The sequence below is a fragment of the Homo sapiens genome, chromosome 9 (assembly GCF_000001405.40).
Source record: "Homo sapiens chromosome 9, GRCh38.p14 Primary Assembly".
Lineage (NCBI taxonomy): Eukaryota > Metazoa > Chordata > Mammalia > Primates > Hominidae > Homo > Homo sapiens.
The window spans coordinates 5,783,663-5,808,478 of record NC_000009.12 but is presented as its reverse complement, the minus strand read 5'-3'; the positions used below and the strand labels follow the sequence as shown (position 1 = coordinate 5,808,478).

General features: G+C 38.2%; 1 protein-coding gene across 6 annotated transcripts in view; it reads left to right on the top strand.

Moving 5' to 3' along the window:
* ERMP1 (endoplasmic reticulum metallopeptidase 1) overlaps window positions 1–23,907 on the top strand; it is an 82,520-nt gene extending 58,613 nt beyond the window's left edge. For 3 of the 6 annotated variants that reach the window (XM_017015139.3, XM_047423898.1, NM_024896.3), the window contains 7 exons: window positions 2,694–2,868; window positions 3,262–3,452; window positions 7,151–7,303; window positions 9,471–9,673; window positions 10,547–10,662; window positions 20,886–21,049; window positions 21,171–23,907. In XM_017015139.3, the coding sequence (XP_016870628.1) occupies window positions 2,694–2,868; window positions 3,262–3,452; window positions 7,151–7,303; window positions 9,471–9,673; window positions 10,547–10,662; window positions 20,886–21,049; window positions 21,171–21,335 (1,167 nt within the window). In that variant the 3' untranslated portion in view covers window positions 21,336–23,907. Of the gene's footprint in view, window positions 1–2,693; window positions 2,869–3,261; window positions 3,453–7,150; window positions 7,304–9,470; window positions 9,674–10,546; window positions 10,663–17,196; window positions 17,246–20,885; window positions 21,050–21,170 lie in introns of those variants that run through there. The other 3 variants (XM_047423897.1, NM_001410952.1, XM_047423899.1) reach the window with 3 other exon arrangements.
* The last annotated feature ends 909 nt before the right edge of the window (window positions 23,908–24,816 follow it).

The following is a 24,816-nucleotide window of genomic DNA, read 5'->3' as shown; positions in this document are numbered from 1 at the left end:
TTAGCAGCTCCTGCTGAAGGAAGGTTCTTTGAGGTTAGCCGTCTGCTTATGGTTGAGCTCATATTTTTATCTTAGTGGCTTCAGTTCCCAAAAGAATTATACCGTGGGGCTCAATTTCACATGCTTATTTTTATTGTAATTGTATGTAATCAGAGTGTGGCTAACTATTGTTGATTGGGGCAGAAGTAGGATAGAAATGTGTAATAAAATTTCATGTACTTTTACTAATTTCAGTTGTCTGATCGTAACACTTTAGGGTAAAAGCACAATAGAAAGAGTGATGTGTTTCATTTTCTTTTCACAAATATTCTTTAAGTGCCCAGTGAACATGGTAGCAGAAGAATGATACCATAAGAGACTGGGCATGGTGGCTTACACCTGTAATCCCAACATTGGGAGGCCAAGGCAGGAAGACTGCTTGAGGCCAGGAGTTTGAGACCAGCCTGGGCAATATAAGTGAGACCACATCTCTATTATTTTTTTTTAAAAAAAACAAGAATGATGCCATAAGAGAGCCATAAGAATGTGATCTCTTTCTTTGAGGAGCTCTCAGTTTCGTTTGGGAAGGTGTGGGAATGATAATAATTGCAATATATTGTGGGATGAAGTGAGACTGACATATAACTATGCTGTAAGAATATAGGGGAGGCGAGATGAATTTTGCTTGTGGAAGTCAGGGTGGCTGAGATGGCAACATTTGAATTGTTTCCGTTTTTTTTTTGTTGTTGTTGTTGAGACAGAGTCTCACTCTGTCGCCCAGGTTGGAGTGCAGTGGTGTGATCTTGGCTCACTGCAACCTCTGCCTCCTGGGTTCTAGCTGTTCTTGTGCCTCAGCCTCCCAAGTACCTGGGACTACAGATGTGTGCCACCATGCCCAGCTAATTTTTGTGTTTTTAGTAGAGACAGGGTTTTACCATGTTGGCCAGGCTGGTCTCCAACTCCTGACCTCAAGTGATCCTCCCACCTCGGCCTCCCAAAGTGTTGGGATTATAGGCATGAGCCACTGCACCTGGCCTGAATGGGGTTTTTGAAGCATGTGTTAAAATATACCAGGTAGGGAACAGATTGATGAGCGGTTTAAGGTGGGAATGTATAAAATGCATCTGTGTCAGTTAGTGGACAGTCCAGTGTGGTGAAGACAAGGAGGTAGTCCAATAACTGGAAAAGGAGGCCAGGGTGAAGTGGGAGCATGATTCTAAAAATCAATGGGGCCACTATTAAAATGTTTTGGGCAGGTCAGTGAGAGAATTTGTGATTTTGTGAGAAAACTGATAACAATGTATAAAGTGGACTGGAATGGAGCAGGAGTGGGCAGGGGATGAATAGAGGTGAGGAGGAAAATAGATTCGAGCGATGTTTTATCTTTGGTGCAGTTTGGGCACTTAAAATGAGATCTTTGTTTTTGAATATCTGAGTGGCATTCAGCTTCAAATTGAACTATAATAATAATTTTCTTATTTTTAAAGACCAAGCCTCTTGATCAACGCAGTGTTAATAACTTAAGTATTTAGCAGCTGTAGCCTATCTTTCATTGTTGGGAGCGGGGAGGGGTTGTTACATGAACTGTAACTTGTTTTGAAAACACGTCACAGAAACTCTTGAGCCCTTGAAGAAGGAGAAACTTTAATATATCTATTTCTCCATTTCCATCTTTGTATTTATGCACCGTAATTAAAACTTTCATGTTTGTGTGAATAGAATTACTCATGCAGATGTTAAAATGTATTAAGTTCATATTAGGCCAGGCACAGTGGCTCACACCTGTAATCCCAGTGCTTTGGGAGGCTGAGGTGGGAAGACTGCTTGAGGCCAGGTGTTTGAGACCAGGCTGAGCAACATGGCAAGACCCTGTCTCTGCCAAAAAAAAAATGTTTTTTTTAAACTTTGCTGGGTGTAGTGGTGTGTGCCTATAGTCCCAGTTACTTCAGGAGGCTGAGGCAGAAGAATCACTTGAGCCCAGGAGGCTGAGACTGCAGTGGGCCGAGATCGCACCACTGGACTCCGGCCTAGGCGACAGAGCGAGAACCTGTCTCAAAAAAAAAAAAAAAAAGTTTATATGGCAACTTTATTTTGAAGAGTGCAAGGTGCTACATAGGAACCCTTGGACTTTAAATCTCAAAAACTGTAAGATCAAATTTTATAATAGGAAATCATGAGGAATACAAGAAGGGGGCAAAGGTGCAGTACAAGACCAACTGGAGATAGAAAAAACTCATGAAAATAAGCCAAACTCCAGATTGCTTTAAAGGTGCTGCAGTTTTCCAGATGTGGGTTATTGGTGGTGCTGCAGCAGTTCCTAACGTTCCTTCACAGGTCATTTCTCTAGTTTGCTTGAAACAGTGTTTGGAATTGGCATGAACTGAAAAGCTTACAGAGATGATTGTTTTTTAGGAGAGTCCTTTCTTCTATTTTGGAAAATTTCTACTTTTAGCCTAGTAGAAGAAAAGCATAGAGTACATGGAGCATTTATACTCTATATTGTTAAAATGCCCTTTCTTGTGCTACATTTGAATTTACTACTTCATGATGGGGGAGGTAGCTTTGTTAGTGTTTACTTTAAATCAGTTTAAAGAGCAGACTGTGTTTAAAACAAAATGTAGCTTTCCTGAGTGATGGAAAGTGTGTTACTATAATAAAAGCTCTTTATGCATGACCCCTGAATGAGACTACTTGTATATTTTTCTTTCTTTCAGAATGCCAGTGCCCAGTATCTGGGAGAAGTATTTTTTGACATTTCGCTGTTTGTCCATTGCTGTTTTCTTGTTACCCTCACTTACCAAGGACTTTGCTCGGCGTTTATTAGTGCTGTCTGGGTAGCATTCCCATTGCTCACAAAGCTCTGTGTGCATAAGGACTTCAAGCAGCATGGTAGGGTATTTTTGATTTTGATATACATGGGAGAATACCTTAAAATACTTAAGGCTTTCAGGGACTCTTTCTTTTTTGGTTTTATTGGGTAGGCTTTCTAAATTGTTAGTTTTTAAAAGTTTTCATACCACACAAATTATCTTATGCCTTATACTCCATCCCTTTCTCATGTTTGTGAACACATACTAATATATTACTTGTGTATTTTGCTTTATTCTTATTTGTATTTTATCCTGAGTGAAAGATCCTACTCCAAGATAACATACACCCTTAAGGGCAAGAGTCACATCTAACCTAATTTCTGTTAGGGTACCAAGGCACACCAGTACTATAAAAATTTATATCTCACTGGAGGATTTCATAGATGTGTGCTTTTTTTCTCTTTTTCCCTAGGTGCCCAAGGAAAATTTATTGCTTTTTACCTTTTGGGGATGTTTATTCCTTATCTTTATGCATTGTACCTCATCTGGGCAGTATTTGAGATGTTTACCCCTATCCTCGGGAGAAGTGGTTCTGAAATCCCACCTGATGTTGTGCTGGCATCCATTTTGGCTGGCTGTACAATGATTCTCTCGTCCTATTTTGTAAGAGAAAATAAGTTTTTTTCTTTTTCTTCATTTTTTATATGAATATGAATTTAGCCATACTAGATTCTGTGAAATAGTGTTACGTGTACTTTATTGAGAAAATCTGAAGCAGAAGAAATGGTGAATGAATGGCCATGCATCTTGTAAATTTGGTATCGTAAGAAACTGTAGTATAGAGTTTGTTGTTGCTGTTTAAAAGTTTTTTGCCTCCCTATCCTTCCAAATTCTCTGATTTACCTCTTTTCAAATAGCCTGTCAGATACCTGAGTGTGAATTTGTAGAGCGTTTACCAAGTATTAATTGTTAGAGATTGCCTGGTGGTGAATGATCCTAATAGTATATTTTGAAATTACTAATTAGAGGCACATGTTAATAGATACATGGGTGGTTTTATTAGTGCTTTTAGAGCTAGTGAAGGAAGACTAAATCTGATGAGGCTTTTTTCATTATCATTCCACTACCTTGTTGCTACCACATGAAAGCTTGTTAATTGAGTCTGTTATGACACCCAAACGTGCCTTCATTTACCAAATAATGAAATGATCACAGGCCTTGTCAGTCCTCATTTTGCCGTATCAGTGTCCTGCCCTAGTAAGGAGAGTCCTGTGTTTGCCATCCCTTTTTTTCTTCCCTTGGGATTCCCAGAGGGAAGAAAAGACAGTGATGCAGAGTTTAAGACCAGACCCCCCTTGAGCAGAGTAAGCCCCAAGCAAGGTTTTGCTTTGGTTTGATGTCCACCTCCACGATCCAAGATGGGCCCCTCCAGAGAATGCAGGTCTCTTTTGGTGGGAATTCCTAAGAATAAAAAGTAATTATTGAACACTCAGAGGTGCACCTTGAAATTTGAGGATAGGGAACCAAACAGGAAAAGGAGCTATGATTTTATTATAGTTCTTTTCTTCATGGAGATGATAGTGAGCCTTTTCATACTGATATAGTAAAGGGCATTCGTTACCCCTTTACTTTGTGGAAGTTAGGTTCTAAAGACAGCAGGTAAGGAAAACACTACACACATGGTCAGCATCATCCGTGGAAGTCCCTTATAGCCAGTAAAGCTCTATATATGTGACTTTGTGTATATAGTCCTGTAGAGTAATTCTTATGCATATTATTGTTTGAGGTTGGTTGTACTAGTCTTAAAAGAGATCTGAGCCTTCCAACCATTTTACTTATAGGATAATTATTAAGGATAATATAAGGATAAGGATAATCCTTATTGGTATTCATAGGGCTGTATGAAAAGTTCTAAAATGTTCTTTGCTGCCTGTAGGGTTTGCTGCTTTTGAGTTTAATAGTAACCCTTATATCATCTGTATTTTTGATAGGTTTGCTGTTGTAAGGATTGAAGGAGACAGTGGACTTTTGTTATCTATAGATTAGGTTCTAATCTAATCTGAAGTCAACTAGTTATGAACTGAATGCCCCCACACCCCCGTTTATTTGTTAAATTATAGTCATGAATGGGAGCTATGGATGTCCATAAAAGATGACTCAGATAGGGGACATTTAAATTCTGTTCCACTGATAATATGAAAGGGGGCAAAATGAACCCTGGAGATGTTCATTGTGGAAATGGAAAATGTCCCCAAAGCATGGAAATCTTGGAAACCAGAAGAAAGAGGATTAAAGTGTCTTATCATCTAAATTATATTTTATTGGGAAAGCTTTTGGAGAGAAGACTGCCTCTTGGAATACTTTAGAAAGCTCACTTATTTTTCATTATAATGTGAAATAGCCCTGCCGCACTTTGATGCCATGAGTTATCACTCTTTTAATTATTTTCTTACTTATGTGTAGCAGTGTTAATGATAGTGGCTTATTAATAGAGTAAGACTGTTTTCTTTGGGTAATGGAGAATTGAACCACAATGCATATTTCAGACAGCTTTCCCTTCAGTCCTTGGGGATTTATTAAATACATCTGCTAGAAAGCAATTAAAGTCTTGTCAAGCAATCACGGTTTTTTGTTTGTTTGTTTGTTTGTTTGTTTTTGAGACAGAGTCTCGCTCTGTCACTCAGGCTGGAGTGCAGTGGTGTAATCTCGGCTCCCTGCAACCACCGCCTCCTGGGTTCAAGCAATTCTCGTGCCTCGGCCTTCCTGAAATATTGCATCCTGTGTCACTCTAGGTTCTGAGATGGGTGCAAAATAAAATGAAGAGAAGCATGAAAAGGGACTCTGAAATGTCCATTGTGTGCTGATAACTGAGCTGTTTCTGAGTCTTCTCCTCCTGACCCCACTTGTATCAGCAGTCCCCATTTCCCCTGTCATTCAATCAGTATACGTATAACCATGAAGGTCCAGCAGAGAATAACTTAAGGACACCTATTAACTGATTGCTTGCTGGGCATGGTGGCTCACGCCTGTAATCCCAGCACTTTGGGAGGCTGAGGCGGGTGGATGACTTAAGGTCAGCAGTTCAAGACCAGCCTGGCCAACATGGTGAAACCCTGTCTGTACTAAAAACACAAGAAATTAGCTGAGCACGGTGGTGCACACTTGTAATTTCAGCTACTCAGGAGGCTGAGGCACAAGAATCGCTTGAACCTGAGTGTTGGAGATTGCAGTGAGCTGAGATCGTGCCTCTGCACTCCAGCCTGGGTGACAGAGCGAGACTCTGTCTCCAGAAAAATAAATAAAATTTCACATTCATGTTATTTTTCTACTTATGGAAATAAGTAGAGAAATAAAATGAAGAAGGCATAAAGGGGAGGTGGGTTTAGATTTCATGTCTATAGTATACCAATATTCCATCCAGAGGCATCTGCAGCAAAACAGTACTAGCCTTAGGTCACACATCTCACATTTGTATACTGAGTACAAAAATATGACAGAGTACCTGAGGACTTGAGGCTGAGCTAGCAAAACAAAATGTGTCACCCTCGCTGTCCATCTTTCTCTCAGTATTCACAATATTTAAAATGTGGCTTCTTAGAACAATTTCAGATTTCACATAAAAGTTTCCCCAAATGGCTTCTTCAGACCCTGTAAGGGATCTGTGGACATACTCTGTGAGTCGTGTGTGTCCTTTACAGTTTTTAGTTCAGCGATTTCATTACGATTGAAAATATTTAGGATTTTCTAGATGCCAACCTTGAGACTGAGTCATTTACATTTACTGCCTAGATTTATTGTTTTGATTGTGTTGGCATTGGTTAATTTGTCACTTAGAGGGATAATATTACTTTGTAATGCAGTTTTTCCTCTTATGCAGGTCCACTGGCAGAGTCTTGAAGGTACATCTCTATGCCAGTTGAGATGAATTTAGTATTTTGACATATTTTAAAGCATTATGAGTGGAATTTGAGTTTTGTCCAAACAGATCTGCCTAAGCTTAAAGCTTATCTCTGGTTATTTAATGAATAATCCATTACATCTACATTTCTGTTCTTTTCGCACATTAAGGACAGCGACAGTCCTGAGTTTCCTTTTTCCCTCTTGGTTTTTGGCTGCATGCCAAAAAGGTGGCACCATCATGGCAGATTGGAGGCATCTGTCATTTTCTAGGTTCTCACCTGCAATGGAAATCTCCTAGAGTTAGTGCTTTGTTTACTAGATGTTAGAGTATGCTAGCACCTGCTGATAAATTTTCTTCAGGGGCTGTTAGGTAATACTGTTAAAAATAAAGTTAGTTAAAAACACCTTTCCACCACTAGAATGAATTTGTAATATTTCTGTGTTTGTGGTTTGTGTTTCAGATTAACTTCATCTACCTTGCCAAGAGCACAAAAAAAACCATGCTAACTTTAACTTTGGTATGTGCAATTACATTCCTCCTTGTTTGCAGTGGAACATTTTTTCCATATAGCTCCAATCCTGCTAATCCGAAGCCAAAGAGAGTGTTTCTTCAGGTGAGCAGTTTTGCATGAGGTATTTGAGATCTGGAAAGGAAGCCCTGTGTGTTTTGAGCTTCAGTAGTGAATAGCAAGCGCAGCTGACTTTTCTGCTGTTGACCTATTTAGTCATACTCACCTTTTTTGTGTGTAAGGCAGTGAGGAGAAGACTGACTGTCAAGAGGCATTCTTATCAGCTAGACATATATCTCCCAGGAGACTGAATTGGAAATGTTTGCTTGTTTTTATTACTATTCAAATTATAAAACTGCATCTATTTGGAAAAACAGGAGCAAATATTTATTATGGAATAATGAGTTTTTAGAAATATAGATTGTAAAAATGTATACAGGCTGAGTAAAATCTAAACTGTCAACTGGCAAAATAAAATTGATGTTTAGAAGTGCTAGTAAAATTAATCTTAAGTAACATTCAAAGTGATATGTGATAGTGAAACTATAACTTAGAAAGGGTTTAATAAAGTGAGTTTTAGGACTTACTTTCTTTTCTCTTTTTTTAAAATGGAGTCTTGGTCTGTTGCCCAGGCTGGAGTGCAGTGGAACGATCTTGGCTCACTGCAACCTCTGCCCCCTCGGTTCAAGTGATTCTCCTGCCTCAGACTCCCAAGTAGCTGGTATTACAGGCGCTCGCCACCACGCCTGGCTAATTTTTGTATTTTTAGTGGAGACAGGGTTTCACTACGTTGGCCAGGCTGTTCTTGAATTCCTGACCTCAGGTGATCCACCCACCTCGGCCTCCCAAAGTGCTTGGGATTACAGGTGTGAGCCACCACACCTGGCCAGTTTGAGGACTTATTTTAGATCTCAACTTTTTCTTCAAATTTTTTAGACCTGGTACTATAAAGCAGTAAGCCTCAATTCTAGTCATCTCTGTTAGAGATGGCTAAATTGTTAGTTTTTCTAAATTGTTTTTAAAAGTTCTCATACTACACAAATTATCTTATGCCTTATACCCATCCCTTTCTCATGTTTGTGAACACATACTAACATATTGTATATTTTGCATAATTCTTATTTGTATTTTATACTCTGTAAGTGAAAGATCCTGCTTCAAGATAACATATACCCTTAAGGGCAAGAGTCACATCTAACCTAATCTAGCCAAACAGAAATGCCAGAGGAATTATACCTAGATAATTATTCAAGGACTTAAAAAATTAAAAACACTTAGGAGGTTTTGAAAAGGGGCCAAATAACAATTCCTTGTTATAGTCCTGAAGGACACTGTGATAAATTTTATGTGAGATTTTACAATTTGTAAAACCTTTAGTGAAGAACGGATTTTTTTTTAGGAGGTTCAGTGTGTTTTTCATGATGTATTAAGTTTTATAATTATGTCAGTAATACTTAGGAAAAGCAGGATTTTTATTTTTAAAAAGTCATTTTCTGATTTGTTTGGGGGTTCTCTTCCACTGTGCCAGAAGTTGGCAAACTTTTCCTGTAAAGGACAAGATAATATTTTGGGCTTTGTCAGCAATACAGTCTGTTGCAGTGAAACAGAGCGAAAGCAGCAACAGAGTATACCCAAACAAATGAGTGTGGCCATGTTCAAATAATGGTTCGTATATAAAAACAGTCAGTGGACAGTTTGCCCTGTTGGCTGCAGTTTGCCGGCTCCTGCCCTATGCAGTGTTTTTTTTTGTTTGTTTTTTTCCTGATTGGTATTCTTCAGGCTGGTTTCTGCCGTGAATAAAGTTATTTCAAATGGAGCACGGTGCCTTTTCATAGAATTCTGTTAGGCACAAGGCTGTCATCTAGTGGTGAGCTGCAATTCCCACTTTTCTCTGCACATGAATTAGCTTCATAAAACACTAATAGGGAAATGAGTGTGTATGTATATATGTGCTTAGGATGTATTTGTTTTAAATCCTTATCTAAAAGCAGCTCTAACATTAACGTCTTTTAAGTCTGAAATAGTAAGTTTCAAAAACATTTTATAGGAATCCTAAATATATTTGGAAGATACAATAAAACAATAATCTATATATCTATTTTCCAGTTTAAAATAAAGAACGCTAGCAGTACCTTAGAAACTCTCAGTGTCTTATTCACTTGCTCCATATCCACATCATTTCTTGGTATTGTCATACTCCATTTTTGTAATCTGGGGTGGGAATGTGGGTGTACTAGTTGAAACAGTTTTTTCACTAGTCTTTTTTTTTCAGCATATGACTAGAACATTCCATGACTTGGAAGGAAATGCAGTTAAACGGGACTCTGGAATATGGATCAATGGGTTTGATTATACTGGAATTTCTCACATAACCCCTCACATTCCTGAGATCAATGATAGTATCCGAGCTCACTGTGAGGAGAATGCACCTCTTTGTGGTTTTCCTTGGTATCTTCCAGTGCACTTTCTGATCAGGTTGGTTCATTATTTTTCTGCTTAAGGTTAGTTTGTTCTCAAGTCTTGTCACCATATCAGTACTCTTATCATTTAAACTGCCATCCTTTAATATACAAGTTCAGTGGTGTTTGTACTATTTTTTCTATCATTATGAAACTTTTTTTTTTTTTTTAGTGGAATAAAGCACTCAGAAGAGTAGTTTTGTTTTTTCAAATTTTAAAAATCTTTTCTCTAGAAACCTGAGTGGTTAGAAAAGGTGGCCCTTCTAACTAATATAATAGCCAATAAGCATCTATCTCAAAAATTGTGGCCGGGCACGGTGGCTCATGCCTGTAATCCCAGCACTTTGGGAGGCCGAGGCGGGTGGATCACCTGAGGTCGGGAGTTCGAGACCAGCCTGACAAACCTGGAGAAACCGTGTCTCTACTAAAAATATAAAATTAGCCGGGCATGGTGGTGCATGCCTGTAATCCCAGGTACTCGGGAGGCTGAGGCAGGGGAATTGCTTGAACCCGGGAGGTGGAGGTTGCGGTGAGCCGATATCGCGCCATTTCACTCCAGCCTGGGCAACAACAGCAAAACTCTGTCTCTCAAAGAAAAAAAAAAATTGTTTTCTCTGGGAAGATTTTATAGCTTGGCAGTGAAGGACTGGATGAGAAGAAATAGGATGGGTGGTGGAATCAAGATCACCTAGGTTACTCCTTTGTTCTTAACATTGGGAAGGTTTTATTACAAAATAACCTAAATTTGTTGGAGTTGGCATTGCTTATCATGTCTGTCAGTTTATTTTCATACCCAAAAATGTGTTCATATATGCTGAACAGTTCTGTGAGTTACAGATAGCCATCAAATAATAAAGCACCCTAAAACTGAAGCTTCCTTTCTAAATAGGAAAAACTGGTATCTTCCTGCCCCAGAAGTTTCTCCAAGAAATCCTCCTCATTTCCGACTCATATCCAAAGAACAGACACCTTGGGATTCTATAAAATTGACTTTTGAAGCAACAGGTAAGTCATATAATAGTTTTTTCTCCCCTCCTTTATTTCTTAAACTTGTTAATAAGTGGCATGTATGTTTTTCCCTCAGATATATCACAGGAACCAGCAACTTAGGAAGAGCCTGTGATGTTTCTAAAATCAATTGAAGCTGGTTATGACTTCTTTTTTTTTTTTTTTTGAGATGGAGTCTCGCTCTGTCGCCCAGGCTAGAGTGCAGTGGTACGATCTCGGCTCACTGCAACCTCCGCCTCCTGGGTTCAAGTGATTCTCCTGCCTCAGCCTCCTGAGTATTTGGGATTACAGGTGTGTGCCACCATGCCTGGCTAATTTTTGTATTTTTAGTAGAGACAGGGTTTCACCATGTTGGTCAGGCTGGTCTTGAACTCCTGACCTCATGGTCTGCCTGCCTCGGCCTCCCAAAGTGCTGGGATTACAGGTATGAGCCACCACGCCCGGCCAAAGCTGGTTATGACTTCTTAACAAAAATTTAATAGGCCAGGCATGGTGGCTTATGCTTGCTACTCAGGAGGCTGAGGTAGGAGGATTGCTTGAGCCCAGGAGTTCAAGACCAGCCAGGGCAACATAGTGACATCCCGTCTCTACAAAATTAAAAAAAAAAAAATTAGCTGGGCATGTTGGTGCATGCCTGTAGTCTTAGCTACTTGAGAACTTGAGAGGCTGAGCTGGGAGAATCACTTGAGCCCAGGAGGTCAAGGCTGATAGCACCACTGCATTCCAACCTGGGTGACAGAGCAAGACCCTGTCTCAAAAATAAAAATTATTTTTATTTTTTGGAGCAATGTTAAGTTTACAGAAAAATTAAGTAGAAATTATAGAGTTCTCATATCCTGCCCCCCGATTTTCCTCTATTAATGTCTTGCATTAGTATGGTGCATTTGTTAAAACTGATGCACCAGTTTTAACACTGATATATTATTATTAATCGAAGCCTGTTGTTCCCACTCGGGTTCATTCTTCGTGTTGTGTAGTTCTATGGGTATTGAAAAATGTGTGATGCCATGTATCTACCATTACAGTATCATACAGAATAGATTTACCATCTAGAAATGCCCTGTGCTTCACCTATTTATCTCTCTTTTCTTCCCACTCTCCTTAGCAACCATTGGTCTTTTTATTATCTCTGTAGCTTTGCCTTTTCCAGGTATCATATAGCTGGAAGCACAGAGTATGTAGCCTTTTTCGACTGACTTCTTTCACTTAGAAGTATGCATTTAAGGGATCCTCCATATCTTTTTGTGACTTGATAGGCCATTTCTTTTTATTGCTGAATAGTCCGTTGTGTAGATGTACAGCAGTTATCCATATTTGAATAAGGCTGCTATAAAGATTCCTGGGCAGGTTTTTGAACTCATTTGGGTAAATGCTTAGGAGTGTGATTGCTGGATATTATATATGGTAAGCCTATGTTTAGCTTTGTAAGAAACTGCCAAACTGTTCTTTCCATTGACTGATTTCTCTGTTCTTTTGCCCATACCACAACTGTCATGATCACTGTAATTATATAGTTAAGTTTTGAAGTTGGGTAGTATCAGTCTTCCAACTCTTCTTCTCCAGAATTGTGTTTTGTCTTTTGCCTTTCCATGTAAACTTTAGAATCAGTTTGTCAATATTCACAAAATAACTTGTTGGAGTTCTGATTGGGATTGTATTGAGTCTGTAGATCAAGGTGGGAAGAAATGATATTTTAACAATAATGGCTTTTCCTATCCGTGTTGGAATATCCCTCCATTTATTTTTATCTTGTTTGATTTCTTTCATCAGTTCTGTAGTTTTCCTTATAGAATCCTTATATATATTTTGTTAGATTTATTTTTAAGTAGTTATTTTTGGGGGTGCTAATGTATTAATAAATGGTATTGTTCATTGATGGTCTACAGGAAAGCAACTGAGTTTCAGATTATTACCCTCATATCCTGCAGCCTTGCTATAATCACTTATTAGATCTAGGAGATTTGTTTTTGTTTTTGTTTTTGTTTTTGTTTGGTTTATTCTTTAAGAAGATTTTCTTTTCTTTTTCTTTTTCTTTTTTGAGACAGTCTCACTCTGTCACCTAGGCTGGAGTGCAGTGGTACGATCTCGGCTCACGGCAACCTCTGCCTCCTGGGTTCAAGTGATTCTCCCGCCTCAGCCTCCCAAGTAGCTGGGAATACAGGCACCCGCCACCACACCTGGCTAATTTTTGTAATTTTAGTAGAGACAGGGTTTCACCACGTTGGCCAGGCTGGTCTCAAACTCCTGACCTTGTGATCCGCCTGCCTCAGCCTCTCAAAGTGCTGGGATTACAGGCGTGAGCCACCGCGCCCAGCCTATTCTTTTAAGATTCTATGAATAGACAATCTTATCATCTGCAGACAGTTTTATTTCCTCCTTCCTAATATCTATAATTTTTATTTCCACTTCTTGACTTGTTACATTATCTGGGACTTCTAGTTTGATTTTGACAAGGCGTTGTGAGAGGGGACATCTTTGCCTTGTTCCTGATCTAGGCAAGCTTCTGGTTTCTTACCACTGAGTATGTTGTTAGCTATACGTTTTTTGGTAGATGTTTTTTATGAGACTGAGGAAGTTCCCTCTATTCCTAGCTTACTGAGAGTTTTTATCATGAATAGGTCTTGGATTTTGTCAGTTGCTTTTCCTGCATATATTGATATGGGCATGTGATTTTTCTTTCTTAGCCTTTTGATGTAATAGATGACATTAATTGATTTTCAAGTATTGGACTGCTTTGCATACCTGAGGTAAATCCTACTTGGTTATGGTGTATAAAACCTTTTATGCATCGTTGATTTGATTTACTAATATTTTGTTAAGGATTTTTGCATCTATGTTCATGAGAGATACTGGTTTATAGTTTTCTTGTATTGTTGTTGTCTAGCTTTGGTATTAGGATAATGCTGGACTCATAGGATGGGTTAAGAAGTATTCCCTCTGCTTCTGTCTTCTGAAAAGCTTTGTAGAGAATTAGTATAATTCCTTCCTTAAATGTTTGGTAGAATTCACCTATGAACCCCCGTAGGCTTGGTAGGTTCTTTTTCTGTGTTGGAAGGTTATTAATTATTGATTCACTCTTTAATAGATACAGGCCTGTTCAGGTTGTCAGTTTCTCATGGTGTGAACTTTGGCAGATTGTGTCTTTTAAAGAATTGGTTCATTTTATCTAGGTTATCAGATTTATGGAAATATAATTTGTCTATAATATTCCTTAATTATCCTTTTAATGTTCATGGGATCTATAATGATGTCCCCTCTTTCATTTCTCATATTAGTAATTTACATCTTTTCTTTTTTTCTCTGCCTGGCTGAAGGGTTATCAATTTTATTGATCTTTTCTAAGAACTAGCTTTTGATTATAGTTGGTTTTCTCTATTGAGTTCTGTTCTAGTTATTTCTTCTGTTTACTTTGGATTTAATTTGTTCTTCCTTTTTTAGTTTATTAAGGTGGAAGCTTAGATTATTGATTTTAAATCATCTTTTCTAATATATGCATTCATTGCTATAAGTTTCCTTCTAAGCACTGCTTATGTTCCATGCCACAAATTTTAAGTTGAATTTTCATTTTAATTTAGTTTCAAGTATTTAAAAATTTTTTCTTGAGACTTCTTTTTTGACCCATTTGTTATGTAGAAGTGTGTTCTTTAATCTCCAAATGATTTGATTTTTCAGCTATTTTTCTGATAATTGATTTCTAGTTTAATTTCATTGTGGTCTGAGAGCATACTTTGTATGAATTCTATTCTAAATCTGTTAAGGTGTGCTTTATGATACAGGATGTGGTCTCTCTTGATGAATGTTCCATTTCAAGCAGTATGCTTGAAAATAATGTGCATACTGTTGCTGTTGGAAGAAGGCTTTATGAATGTCACTTAGATCTAATCGATTGATGATGATGTTCAGTTCAATTATATTTTTACTGATTTTCTGCCTATTGAATTTTTCAGTGATGGAGGGGTGTTGAAGTCTCTGACTGTAATTGTGAATTTGTCTTTCTCCTTTAGTTGTATGAGTTTGCCAACTATTTTGACACTTTATTGTTAGCTACATACAAATTAAAGATTGTTATGTCTTCTTAGAGAACTGACCCTTTATCATTATGCATTGCCCCTCTTTATCGCTGCTAATTTTCCTTGCTTTAAAAGTCAGCTTTGTCTAAAATTAATATTGCTCTCCTACTTTCTTTTGATTAGTGTTAGCATGGTATAATGTTCTCCATCCACTGACTCTTAATTTATGTGCCTTCATAGTTAAAATGGGTTTTCTGTAGACAACACATAGTGGGGTCTTGTTTTTTGATCCACCCTGACGCTCTGTCTTTTAATTTGTATGTTTAGACATTGACATTCAAAGTGATTATTAATATAGTTGAATTAATAGCTACCATATTAGTTAACTATTTTCTATTTGTTGCCCTTGTTTTTTCTTCCTGTTTTTGTCTTCCACTCTTTTTCTGCCTTTAGTAGTTTTAATTGGACATTTTATATGATGTGGTTTTCTCTCCTTTCTTAGCATGTCAGTTACACTACTATTTTTTTTTTAACCTTTTTTAATGGCTGCCCTGTCGTTTGCAGTACACATTTACAGCTATGCAAGCCCACTTTTAAATAATACTATTCTGCATCACAGGGATTATGAATAACTTAATAACAAAATAATCCTAATTTCTCCTTCCAGTCTCTTGTAACATTGCTAGCATTTATCTCTCTTATACAGAAGCGTGTGTGCACATATGCAGTATGTACACACAATGCACACATATAAGTATACATAACCACATACATTGTTGCTATTATTTTGAAAAACTGTTATCTGTTAGATCAATTAAGAATAGGAAAAATGAGTTTTTATTTTACCTCATTCCCTCTCTAGTGTGCTTTCTTTTGTTATATGAAAATCTTGAGTTTCTGACCTGTATTATACTTGCCTTCTCAGGTTTTAATTGAGCATTGTATATTGTTCTATTCTTTTATATTCTTACCATATCAATTATACTTATTTTAGTGGTTGCTATGGAGCTTGCAGTATGTCTGTCTTCAGTTAACACTGTACTGCTTCATGGTAGTGCAGATACCTTATAACATAATATTCTCAATTCATCCCTCCCTGGGATTCTATCAAGTTGACCTTTTAAACAATAGGTAAGTCACATGACCATCTTTTTTTCCTGCTCCTTCACTTCTTAAACCTTTTAATAAGTTGCATGTGGTTTTTCTTGCCCTAAAGTTTAAGTCTTAAATTGACCAGCAATTTAGGAGCCTTACATTGTTTCTCAAAGAAGTTGAGACTGGTTATGATTTTTAAGAAGATTTACTGAAAAACTTTTAGTGTCAGATATTGGTTCATTGTCAGATCCAGGAGCATTTGGCCTGGCATTATGACTTTATCTTTTTTGGTACATTTTATTCCCTTTTCCATCTTTAAAACTAGCAGTTAGGTCTTCCAGCTTCTTAACTTATGTTTTGGCCTGTAAAACTTCTTTCTAGGATATTCTTTATGGTGCTGCCAGTTTATCTTTCAAATATCGATTTCATTATGTCTACTTCCCTATTAAAAAACTTTTGATGGATTTCCTGTTGCCTGGAGAGTAAGTTCAAATTCCTTGGCAAAGCATGTTAGGTCTTCGGTAGTCTGGACTTTGTGTATATTTCGGGATTCTTTTCAGCACTCCCTTTGCACTGCATAGCCACATCCAACCCTTATTTGCACCCAACACACACTGTTACTTCTGGTATGAGTGATACTCTTCTTGGTACTACCTCCTACCCAGACTCTACCCTTCTCTTCTTGGCAAAATATGAAGATTTCTCTGCCCTCCTCTCCCATCATTTCCAATTAAGTGAGCAACTGCCATCCTCCCACTTCTTCCTCCCTTTGTGTATATCTGTTGTAACACTGACCATCTTGTATCACGATTATGTAGTTTATGTCTTTGTTTTCCTTTAGAATTAAAGGGAGGCAGACATGAATGGGTTTTCATTTATCTCTGTATTCTTGGCATCCAGTATAATCACTGGCACTTGATGGGTACTCAAGACATGTGTTGAATTGTTAAATTTAGCAACTGTTTTTCTTTTAAAGCATTCTACTTGGGCTTAGTACGGAGACAGATGCTTGAGAAAGGAGGAGGAGAAATGTCAAGACATATGACATTTTCTCATCTTCAAAAGCTGTAAAGAGTTTGTTTGCTTGTGAGGTGTTTTAAAAAGTGAGCAAACCAGGATGGTCTCTCCCTTTCTAATGTCTTTTTGGGAAGTATGATGGTTATTTTATGTGTCAACTTGGGTAGACCACAGCACCCAGGTATCTGGTCAAATGCTATCCTAGATGTTTCTGTGAAAATATTTTCTGGGTAAGATTAACATGCAAATCACTGGACTTCGAGTAAAGCAGATTGCCCTCCATAATGCAAGTGAGCCTCATCCCGTCAGTGAAGGCCTTGAGAAAAAGACTGACCTTCCCCAAGGAGAGGGAATGGGGAATTCTGCTAGCAGACTGCCTTCAGTCTCATACTGTGACTTTTTTCTTCAGCCTGCCTGCCTATCCTTCAGATTTTGGACTTGCCAGCCTCAACAATCATGTAAGCCAGTTCCTTAAAATAAATCTCAATCACTCTCTCTGTCTCTCTCTCTCTTTCTCTCTGTACACATCCTGTTGGTTTCCCTGGAGAATGCTAATATAGGAAGTTCACTTCAACTGTTCCTGCAGCTGTTCACGCTATACTTTTTCTGAGTACTCTTCCCCTGATAGAAAGTTGTCTGGGACTTTCATGAGTGAAAAGTATTTTTAAATATCACTTTTCCCCTTGCCTACTTTATTTTTTTCAAGGCCTAATTTACATACAATGAAATGTAAAGATCTTACACAGTTCAGTTAGTTTTGGTAAAAGCAGATATATACCCATGTAACCCTCATCTCTATGAAGATATAAAACATTTCCATCACCCCACAAAGCTCAATTGATGTGTCTTGTACTGAGTGGAATATTGGAGTCTCTTATTTGTGTGTTTATATGTATATATCTTCTATACGCCTCCTGTAGTTTTCTTTATAAAGTGGTTGCTATGTTATCTGATGCATAGATATTCACAATTTTATGTCTTCATTGTGAATTGTGACTTTCAGTATTAAAAAGTGCCCCTTTTATATTTAATGCCTTTGCCTTGAATTCTGTGTTTTGAGAAATAAGATAGGACTTTTAAACAATTTCCACTTGCCTGAAATACCTTTGTTCATACCTTTATTTACCCTTTCTGTATCTCTCTGTATTCAGGAAACATACAGTATGTGATTGGGTTTGGCTTTGTAAGCCAAGTTGAAATTGTTTTTCTTTTAGTGGGTAAGTTAGGTTTATTTACATTAATTTTTATTACTCATACATTTGGCCTCAGTTGTCACAGTATTTTATAATTACATGTGTTGCTTTATTTGTTATATTCCTTTTTTCTATGAGGTGTCTTCTATGCTCTTTAAAACATTTATTTTCTGGCATTTATGAATGTTTATATTTGTTTTAATTCTCTATTATTTTACTTGAACCCGGGAGGCAGAGGTTGCAGTGAGCTGAAATTGCGCCACTGCGCTCCAGCCTGGGCCACAGAACGAGACTCCGTCTCAGGGGAAAAAAAAAAAAAAAAAAAAAAAGGTATTGTTTTAACTCCCACCAATTAACCCATACAACAGCCATGCTTATTCTACTTTCCTCTTTCTCTCTCCCATTTTCCATCCAATTTTTATTACAACATGTAACATTTGTATATTTGTCTTATAACTTCACCTTAGTGTTTTTGTAATACATTTGGATATATTAAAATCCTCAGTATAATAAGTTCTTTTGGCCAGGTGTGGTGGCTCACTTTGGGGGTACTTTGGGAGGTTGAGGCAGGAGGATGGCTTGAGCCCAGGAGCTCGAGACCAGCCTGGGCAACACGGGGAGACCCCATCTCTACCAAAAAAAAAAAAAAAAGGCCAGGTTTGTAGCATGCATCTGTAGTCCCAGCTACTTGGGAGGCTGAGGCAATAGGATTGCTCAAGCCAAGGAAGTCAAGGCTGCAGTGGGCTGTGTTCATGCCACTGGACTCCAGCCTAGGCGATAGAGCAGTGGGCTGCTGTGTTCACGCCACTGCACTCGACCCTAGGTGACAGAGCAGTGGGCTGTTCATGCCACTGCATTCCAGCCTAGGTGGTAGAGCAGTGGGCTGTGTTCACACCACTGCACTCGAACCTAGGTGATAGAGCAAGACCCTGTCTCAGGAAAAAGTTCTTTTGCTGAAGTTTGTACAGTTATCTGTTGGTTGGATGAAGCTTATTCTCTAGACTGTTTCTGAAGAAGGGCTCATGAGTGCTGTTTCTGTATGGTTAAAATTGGTTTTCTGTAATCCTGATAGTTGAAGGACAAGTTGGTGGACATAAAATCTTTGGTTCACGTTTTCCAATATTGAGTTTTTAAAAATTGTTGTTCCATTGTTGCCTTGTTTTATATATTGTTTTTGGGGTCTGATACCAATGTAATTTTTTTTGTAAGTTATTTGATCAAACTTTTTATTGAAGACCTTGAAGATTTTTTTTTTCTTTGAAATCTAATAGTTTTACTAGGTTATGTCTTGAAGTTGTTTGTTCTGTGTTAATATTCTAAGGTGCCTGGTAGTCTCTTTCAATGTGTAGATTCAGCTCTCTTTTTGTTTCTGGAATGCTTTCTTGGATTACAGTTTTAAATATTAGTTCTGTTTCGTTGTTTGGTTTTCTTCTGGGGTACCAAATGAATATTTTTTCTGACCTGCCTTCCATTTTTACCACTATCGCTAACCTTTTTTACTTTGCTTTTTCCCATTTTAATTTTCTTAGTATTTCTCCTGTCTTTATGACTGTTATTAAATTTTCCTTTGAATCTATTCTGTTGGGCATCTTGTAATTGTCTTCATTTCTAAGGTAATTTTGCCTTTTTCCTCCATTTCTTTTCTGAGTCTAGTCGGTCCTTTTAATTCTTCCTTCTAGTAAGAATTTCTGATTCATGGTGGGGTTTTAAATATCCCCAAATGTTTGTATGGATATATTTGTAGTTGGAGTGTGATTATAACATTTTCTCCTGCTTCATGGTTATTTCTTTTTTTTTCCAAGAGGAATTTTCTGATACTTTTTTTTGGTAATAACTGTATGGATCTGTTTATCCTTTTCTTCCTCATTTTTGTGCTGTTTTGTAAGATTTCTAGCAATGGCTTCCTTTTCTGTCAGTGTAAGAAAGTCCAGATTCTTTAGGAAGTTTGTGTTGGTGTGGATGAATAATATTTATCTCTTTCAACTTTTTTGACTGGATTTTTCTTGCAGGACCCTGAATTTTCTTTTGCTTCTTTTCATCTTCACCACCCAAATGCCAAAGGATTCCTCTTCCTTCTTTTTTATTTTTCCCTGAGAAGCTTTGGTTTTGAAGACTGTTACTTCAATAATATACTTTTAAGTCCCTGCCCTGTAAACCTTTCTTTGACTGGACACTATAGTAGTATTTTCAGATTTAGGGTGGACTGACTTGGTCTGCATTTGCCACAAAGCCTTGCAGCAGAAGCAGGGTGGGCACAAGTGTGTGAGATTGCTCCCTGAGATTTAAAAATTTACGGTTATTTCAAATGTGGGTATTCTCTGTCTTTAAGTTAGGCTGAGGGTGTGTTTTTGTTTAGTTTTATCTATTTTAGTTTTAGTTTGACTTCCACTGTCATCAGTTTCCTTGGAAGTTCCCAGTGATGACTAAATTTTCAGAACTGAGCTAATATTTTCCAGCTTGAAGGGAAAAACTAGTAAAACATATTTTAAGGTGTTACATGATCAACTCTGAAAATTACAACTCCATTCATAATGGCAGTCCTATTCAGTACTGTTACAGCACTTCGCAGTTTTGCCAACACTTTCATATGCTTTTTCTAATATAATCCCCTCAATGAAGAAATTGTGACATAGATTAAATTCCTGATGTCATGCAGCAGTTAAGTGATAGGACCAACTTAACACAGGCTTTCTCATTTACAGTCTGTGCCTTTTCTCCTGTACCTCATTATTTAACCTTGTTGATTCACACTAAGTGTCCAAACTGGTAAACCTCCATTAGGTTTATAGTAAGTATATTTAAAGTCATGCAGGCATGAACCTTTATGAAGTCTGGTTTGGATTGTGGGTTATTTTTTTGATCCTTTTAAAAAGATTAACTGTTCTTTCTTCCTTTTACCTTACAGGACCAAGCCATATGTCCTTCTATGTTCGAGCCCACAAAGGGTCAACACTTTCTCAGTGGTCTCTTGGCAATGGCACCCCAGTCACAAGTAAAGGAGGAGACTACTTTGTCTTTTACTCCCATGGACTCCAGGCCTCTGCATGGCAGTTCTGGATAGAAGTGCAGGTGCCAATTTCCCAGCATTGTTTGTTTCATTGATTAGGTTCCCAGGTGGTATTTAGCAAGAACCTTGGGTTCAGTATTCTGGCTTCTGAGAACTGGAGAACTAATTGATTTTCTCTGGCAGGTTTCAGAAGAACATCCTGAAGGAATGGTCACCGTGGCCATTGCTGCCCACTATCTGTCTGGGGAAGACAAGAGATCCCCTCAACTGGATGCTCTGAAGGAAAAGTTCCCAGATTGGACATTTCCCTCTGCCTGGGTGTGCACCTACGATCTCTTTGTATTTTAATCTTGTGGATGAGCTCTAAGTACATGCCCAGTGGATACTCCATGTGACATGGTTTCTCCCTATGTTACGTGGATGTTTGTAACGTAAGTCAATGAATTTTAATGATCATATGTTCAAAGAGCTTTCTGGGTTAACGCTTTTCAGGGCCAAGCACTATAAGGGTTTAGCTGTGGCGCAGTGATGCATGGCCTGTTGACACTTGAAAATGCCAGTCTTTTGGCACTTCAGCACATGTGGGTACTGCCACTACACACACGTCATTTTATATGACCTTAAGGACAAAGCCAACAATCCACTTCAATAGCTGCCCCTTTAGGATCAAGAAAGATGTACACTGTCAGAGCATTGTTAATGAGACAAAAGTTGTTTCCAATTTAAGCCCCAAAACCATTTGTTGTATTAGTGGATGGTGGGTAAAATATCATTCACTGAGGTAATGATTCCCCTTGAGAATATAACTCTGTGTAGGTCACTGGAAAGTGATTGCCATAGGGCTGGGAGAGAAGCATTGCACTCTTGAGGCTGTAGCCTGTGTCAAGCTGTTTCTTCAGGCAGCCTCTCAAATGTGCTTTGTCTCTCTGTGCTGAGGCCTGGACCCTGTGCTGAGCTGGTGACTCACTGTCCTGACAAGTGGACACACAGATGCACTGCTGTGCTGCTTTCCTGAGGTGGTTTTCTATGCCTGTTTTCCTCTGAAACATGTCTGTTACCCCTCTCCATCTTACCAAGTTGAAAAGGGGAATATTTGGCCACATACCCCTCTGGTTTTCGTAGGTTCTTTTGGTTCAGAATATTGTTTGTGCCAGTACATGACCTTAACTTCCTTCCTCAGAGCACTGAGCTGCCATCTGGGCTATTCTGGGGTAGAAGGAAGGCTGGGAGTGGTGGGAATTTTATAAATATTTATTCTCTTTTCTTTGTTTCATAGGAGTCTTGTGTTATACAAGGTTAGTCCTTCATGGTATAATCTTACTGATGCACTGGGCCTATCTTTTTGTTTTCCAGCCAGTTGAATAGATTAGTTTTTCTCAGTAACTTACTATCCAGCAGACTGGCTTTCCTGAGACTTGAGGTTGTGGCTTATACTGGAATGAGACCACTGTACGTGTAGGTGGTTCAGATCCTGCGTAATGGCAGCATGAGGACTTAAAAGGTGGTTTTCATTTTGAAGATGGCTATGTAGCTTGTAAGGTGTATCACAGCAGTACCTCTCATGGCTTTTTGGTTCCAGCAGTGAGGGCATTGGTGAGATCAATGGTAAACTGTGCAAGCTTTCTTTTTATCATTAGGAAATGTGAAACGTTGGACAAATTTTGAGTTTTAACAAGGACAAAAAGTTGAAAGAAAAGGCACAGTTAACAAAAAAGGGTGGCTAGATTTATCTTGGGTGATGGAGGAAATGAGAGAGGAATGCTCTTGAAAGGTGGTCTGTGGATCTGTCTGAATAGAAAGAGCACAGTAAGTATGCATTGCCGGAGAAAACGTCCTTGAAGCTGCTTGTCTCATGTGTATGATGTGCTTTTTAAATCATGCCCCTCGTTGCCTGCCTAATCTGTGACTCCCTAAAAACTAACTGGGCCCATGTAGATGGGGCTGCAACCAGAGCTGAATAACATGTTAGGCTCACACATGCATCAGCACTGCACACTGGAATCATTGCTCTTCCTGGACTTTGTAGAAATCAGTCTCAAGTGCTTCAAGAGTCTGGCTCCTGCTACTTTTATCTGTCAGGTAGCACATAAGGTTTGCAGGGTTTATATTTTGTATAGAATCACAGTTGTGGAGAAAAAGTAATAATTTCTCAATGAATTTTAAAAATGGGCCTATTTTCTATCCCCGTGGTTCATCTGATATAATTAGTGTTCCCTGTGAATTCCCCCCCTCTATGGGAAGGATGCCTTTACTCTTTATCAGTAATAAATTATGACTGTTTTCATATTGCCTTAGGGTTATTTCCCTGTGTAAACCATTGTCTTTTGTTTTGGTTTTCTTTAGCATTATGAAGCTTTGGTATTGTACAAGGTCAGTAGTAAGATGCTCACTAGTCTCAGGGCTTGTGTAATATTCTGGGAGGTCATTTAAATGCCAGAAATGGTCAAGCAATTATACACAGTATTTATGACTCTGTTAAGCATACCGTTTGTCTGTCACATTAGTAGATTCTGAGATTAAAAAAAATTTTTAAAGAGTGATCATTTAAATAATTTCTAAAAGGGTCTTTTCAAGCTCTAACAAAGTCACTAACAAATGCATTATTTTCTACAGAATTAGATGTTAGTAGTACAGTACTGCATATTCAGGGAAAAAGTGTGAGGAATTGATTTCAAAATAGTTCGTTCTTGTGTTTGACCTAAGAATGATTGTCGCATGAAGTGTTTGTTTTTACAGTTTAGCATATATAAACAAACATGATAGGATTCCTTAAGATGTTACCACCCAGGGGGCCACAAGCCAGCCTGCTGTCTCAGGAAGCTGTAGAAGGAGTGTTTGTCAATTTCTTGTCACTGGTTTGCTGACTTACTGAGGATTAATTGTTGCCTTACAATGTTACTGAAATAAACTGTTTAATATACTGGTTGGTATCTTTTTAACTGAAAAACAGATCTGTGTTCTTCTGTATCCCCATATTTTCAAGGGTTATTCCATGTCCACAGAGCCTTTTAATTGCTGTTAAAAGACCTAGATGGCTCATGTGAGCAAAGAACTCAACATGGAAATGTTTACTTCAGTTAGAATCCTTTATCTTAGAATGAAATGGTACTTCTGAATTTCACAGAAATTATTAGGTAAATGTTGAGCTTCACCTATGTAGGAGTTTTAAATCATCCCCATTAGCAAAAAAATAGCAAAGGGTAAAGGGCGTTCTTTTATTTGGGAGTAAGGGTAGGAGGGAGGGAAGAAGTTGCCTTTCAGCCAGAGTGACTCATTGCTTATTCTAATCTCCACAGAAGGAAAGGGCACCACCACTCACCAAAATAGAGCATGAACTTTGAGTTCAGAGATCTCTGTGCAAGTTATTTAAACTTTGAGTGAATTCTCTCAGAACAGTTCAATGCAAGGTGAAGCAGCTGAACAACTTCTAACCTAATACTCCTCTTCTTCTTTTAGGGCCAATAAAGTCAAGATGCAGTTATGGCTATTTACATTTGTTTTTAGCCAAGATGCAGTTACGACTCTTTTTAAATTTTTTAAAATTATACTTTAAGTTCTGGGGTACATGTGTGGAATGTACAGGTTTGTTACATATGTATACATGTGCCATGGCAGTTTGCTGCACCCATCAACCTGTCATCTACATTAGGTATTTCTCCTAATGCTGTCCCTCCCCTAGCCCCCCACCCTCTGACAGGCTCTGGTGTGTGATGTTCCCCTCCCTGTGTCCATGTGTTCTCATTGTTCAACTCCCACTTATGAGTGAGAACATGCGGTGTTTGGCTTTCTGTTCTTGTGTTAGTTTGCTGAGAATGATGGCTTCCAGCTT